The sequence below is a fragment of the Homo sapiens genome, chromosome 13, assembly GCF_000001405.40.
Source record: "Homo sapiens chromosome 13, GRCh38.p14 Primary Assembly".
Lineage (NCBI taxonomy): Eukaryota > Metazoa > Chordata > Mammalia > Primates > Hominidae > Homo > Homo sapiens.
The window spans coordinates 31962654-31967329 of NC_000013.11; the positions used below are offsets into that span (position 1 = coordinate 31962654).

The following is a 4676-nucleotide window of genomic DNA, read 5'->3' on the forward strand; positions in this document are numbered from 1 at the left end:
CATGTATCCAGTGATTTCTGCCCACAGTGGGTGCTCAGGAAATGCTGATGCCCTTCATCCCCATAACTATGTTATATTCTCCTCCTTCCATTAATAGTGTGTGAATCTAACTAATAATTTACCCACCTAGTGTGCCCTGGATTCTTCCTTCTAAAGTGGGATAAAAATAATAGCTGATCCCAGGAATGTCTACCATCCTAAAGACTCCTGGAGTCTAGAACTGCATTCCTGAAGTAGTTCTCTCATCCACTGGTAGATTTTCTGTAACAATCTGCCTTTTTTTTTTTTTTTTCTTGATAGTGTCTCTCTCATGTTTAAGCTTTTTTCGGAATCAAGCCCACATTCTTCAGCACGGCATTGAAGACTCAGGAGCCCTCCCAGTCTGGCCCCATGCACAGATGGAAGGCTTTCTTTCCTGGTCCTTATCCTTCTCTGCACAATACTCCAGTCACACCACACCATGGACTGCTCTCTGACCCTCATGGCATTCCAGTGGCGTTATGCTCTCATACAGCCTTCCTCATTTGCCCACCTTGCTTGTCTCTGACTCATATTCTATTCCAAGGCTAAGCTCAAATGTCATCATATCTCTCAAACTGTCCCTCACACTCCCACCCCCACATGATTTAGTTGTATTCTGCCTTTTGTTCCACAGGTCTTTGTACATCATGGTATTATGGTGTTTAAGTCTGTACATATGTATTTGTATTGCCATCCCCAACCCAGGCTCCAAGCCTTCTGAAGGTAGAAAACTGTATCACATAAATGAAGAATGAATGAATGAATGAATGAGTAAATATTTAGCCTATCTGTCTGAACTGCCTGCTCTGTCTTAGCCATTGGAAACATGCTTAGAACTAAATCATTTTCTAAGAAACAATAGTCTTCCTTAGTATTAATTTTATATTATTTTTCTCTCTTCTCTCCAAGCCCTTATCACTTGGATTCTTGCTATTTTACTTTTGCTTTAAGATATCCCTGTTGTCTTATTAACTACTTTGAGTCCTACACAGATTTATGTAAGTGAGAAATATACAATATCCTATGTACCTCACCTGAGCTAAATAAAATCATTTTCCATCAAAGGAAGCATCACTGTTTTCACTTCTCTTTTCCTTACTATATTTTGGATAAAGATGATGTAGGCTTTTCATGCGCCAATCAAGTTGCATAATGTTTTTGAGTCAGTATTATTTACCAATTTATCTTGCTTCTGCATATATTGTTGGCTATGATTATATGACAGTTTCTCTTGTCTAACACACATTTACAAAATCAAAATTTTCTAATTCTCTTTAGTTTTGCTGGTGTCATTATGTATGCCATAGTTGCAAAATTGTGTTTTGTGCAACAATATAGAAGAATAAAATACAAAGGATGAAAAGAGACTCAACAAGGAGAGATAATCTTAAACTTGTCATAAAATAAAAGTGAATTTCCTAAAATTATTAATATGGTGACAAGTATATACAAATTTTGCATTAAATAATTGGGTGTAAATTCTTAACCCTAAGAAAGCTTATTGAACGATGGCTTTTTGATGTATGGAATGGATTGTTTACCAAATGAAGCAACATAACAGATATCTCTGGAATAACCAGCTTTACAGCTGACAGCAAACTCCTTAGGCCAAAGACTTTACATGTTTGGCACATTGTACTTATTGTACATCAGTGCTGTTTAAATATTTAATAGCAGTTGCTCCCATACCTATTCCTGGCTGGTCTAGCCTTCCTGACTTGTCATGTTCGTAATCAAATATGTATTTCTACATTAATCATTTGGGGTGTGGTGCCACTTTTAATCCCAGGTGGGATGATGCCATCTTCTGAAGGCTTGGTTGTGCTCTGGGTGACTAGAATAAAGATAATTAGCTATGAATATCAAACATTACTTTTTCTTTTTCTTATTTAAAAATATGTTCCTTTTTAGAGATAGATTCTTTGCGGAGTGAGTGTATTTTTTTCTAAAGATGAAGTAGTCACTGTTTTTGAAAATACTCTAGGACCTGGGCTTCATCATCCAGGCTTTATAACTAATGACGTGACCTGACCTCTCTGGTCAGTTTGGTTATCTGTAAAGAAATCCTCCTGGGCTAATTGCAAATGTTTCCAGCCCCAGAGTTTTAGTGTTATTGCCTATTTCCAGTTGTAATATTTGTGCTTATTTACTTAGAAGAAATAAATTAGTTTACTTTTAATTTTTACTGGGGAATGTAAAAAAAAAGTGCTCCTACTTAAATGTTTAATCTGTTTTGTGATTTATTTCTTTAAGGGGAATTTACCCAATATTCATTATATAGAAAAAGAGTCATGGCAACATATGAGAACTCCAAAGCATATACATATAGAATAACCTAGCTATTTAATTATGTAAATTTTAAAAGAAAAACAAAATGTAGTGATAGAAAAGAACAAAATCTCTTGGATCTGGAGAACAAAAGACTACTAATTGTGTGAACTGTGACCCTTGGGTTCTTTATCAATTAAACAGGAATCTTTCTGTTTACCAGAGAACAAGAAATGAGATAAAGACATGAAGATCCATTGTGACTGTGGACACTACGATAGGGGAAAAGTTTCTTTTTAAAAAAATTTTAATTGTTGTGGGTACATAGTATATGTTTATATTTATGGGGTATATGAGATGTTTTGATATGGGCATACAATGTGTAATAATCACATCAGGGTAAATGAGGTATCTTTCACCTCAAACATTTATCCTTTGTGTTATAAACAATCCAGTTATACTCTTTTAGTTATTTTTAAACACACAATTGAATTACTATTGACTGTAGTCACACTGTCATGCTATCAAATACTAGATATTTTTGTGTAAAGATAGTGCTAACAGACTGATGCTTTGTTTTCTGGCAAGGGGAGTGCCTTCATCTTCATCCACTCACACTTTCTCTCCTGACCTCTCTTCTGACTTTTGCCACAATTTCCTTATGTCTGGCCACATTTGGAGTTACCATTTTTGCTCATGCAAAACAATATTTGTTGTTGTTACAACAACACTAATCAGCCCACAGAAGGATTTAATCGTTATTTGTTTTCATTAATAGCTTCTTCCAGACACCCAGGTGTATCTGCCAAAAGTGAAGTAGTAAAGGCCCCATGAAAATGCTATACAAACCCTTTTAATTTTACTGACTTTGACTTCCTTTCTTATCGGGGAATTCCCAGTCTCCGAAGTTTTGTTTATGCATGCTGCAGTTTCCAAGGGTGACTGCAGTGAACTGGAAAAGTTCTATTTGAAGCCACTTTCACTTGTATGAGGTTAAACAGTCATTCAGAGAAGTGAAGCCCAGTTAGGTTTTTCTGCAGGAGCACCTGAAGGTTCTGCTTACACTAAATCTTTGGAGTTAGGTAGCCTTCAACACCTAACAGCAACTACTGTGCTTCCCATTACAATTATTTATGCCTATGTTACTTTCACATTTAAATTATTAGTATTATATATCAATGTGTAGATACAATAGGGATAATACCCAGAAACATATAAGCCATGTGCACAATTTTTCTTTTTCTTTTTTTTAGAGACAGGGTCTCGCTCTGTCACCTAGGCTAGGGTACAGTGGCACAATTGTAGCTTACTGCAGCCACAAGCTCCTGGGCTCAAGTGATCCACCCACCTCAGCCTCCTGAGTAGCTGGGACTACAGCTGTGCACTACCACGCTGGTTTTTTTTTTTTTTTTTCTGTAGAGATGGGGTCTCACTATGTTGCCTGGGCTGGTCTTGACTCCTGGCTTCAGGTGATCCTCCCACCTTGGTTCCACAAAGTGCTAGAATTATAGGCATAAACCACTATGCCCAGCCCATGGATGCTATTTTTAAATGTGATGTTTTATTTATCTCTCTAAATATCTTTAAAAATGAATACTTCTTCCAAGGAGTCCCTGAATACTAATTTTGACCTTTCCATCATCGACTAAGATCATCTTTCCTTATCTAATCTTCATTTTTGTGTTAGTAATACTTGTAATTTTTATTGTCCTGATCTTTGCTCCACATTTTTCTCCTCATGACTGTAATTCATAGAATCATGCAATAAATCATTTATTCATTCTGCAAACACTTTTTGAGTACCTATTACCTGCCAAGCACTGGTCTAGATCTGGCTCATAAGTATTGAAGTCTCCTGCTATTGTTATAGAGCTAACTGTTTTTTCCTTCAGTTCCATCAGTGTTTGCTTCATATTTTTTGGAGCTCTGTTATTTGGTACATATATGTTTATATTTTTGGGGGGGGTGTGGTGTGGATTGATCCTTTTATATTTTGGGATGTCCTTTTTTGTCTCTTATAACACTTTTTGATTTAAAGTCTTTTTTTGTCTAGTACTAATATAGCCACCACTGCTCTCTTTTTGAAGCTATTTGCAGAGAGTAGCTATTCTCATTCTTTCACATTCAACCTGTGTGTCCCTCCTAGATCTAAGATGAGTCTCAGCATATAGTTGGATTCAGTTTTTTATAAATCCATTAAGCTAATCTATGTCTCTTAATTAGGGAGTTTAATTTATTTAAAATTAAAGCAATTGCTGATAAAGACTTGCTATTGCCATTTTGTTATTTGTGTTTTGTAAACCTTATAGCTATTTGTCCCTCATTCCCTTTTGCCTTTCTTCTTTTGTGTTTACTTGATTTTTTTTGTAGTGACATGTTTTGATTGC

The 4676-nt window shown here is 35.9% G+C and overlaps 1 annotated feature.

Annotated features, from left to right (window-relative positions):
* Positions 3052-3161: an enhancer, noted in NCBI's record as "active region_7553". NCBI's record gives its function as "activates an Ori minimal core promoter by ATAC-STARR-seq in GM12878 lymphoblastoid cells {active_cell/tissue: GM12878}" and the evidence as "EXISTENCE:reporter gene assay evidence [ECO:0000049][PMID:35858748]".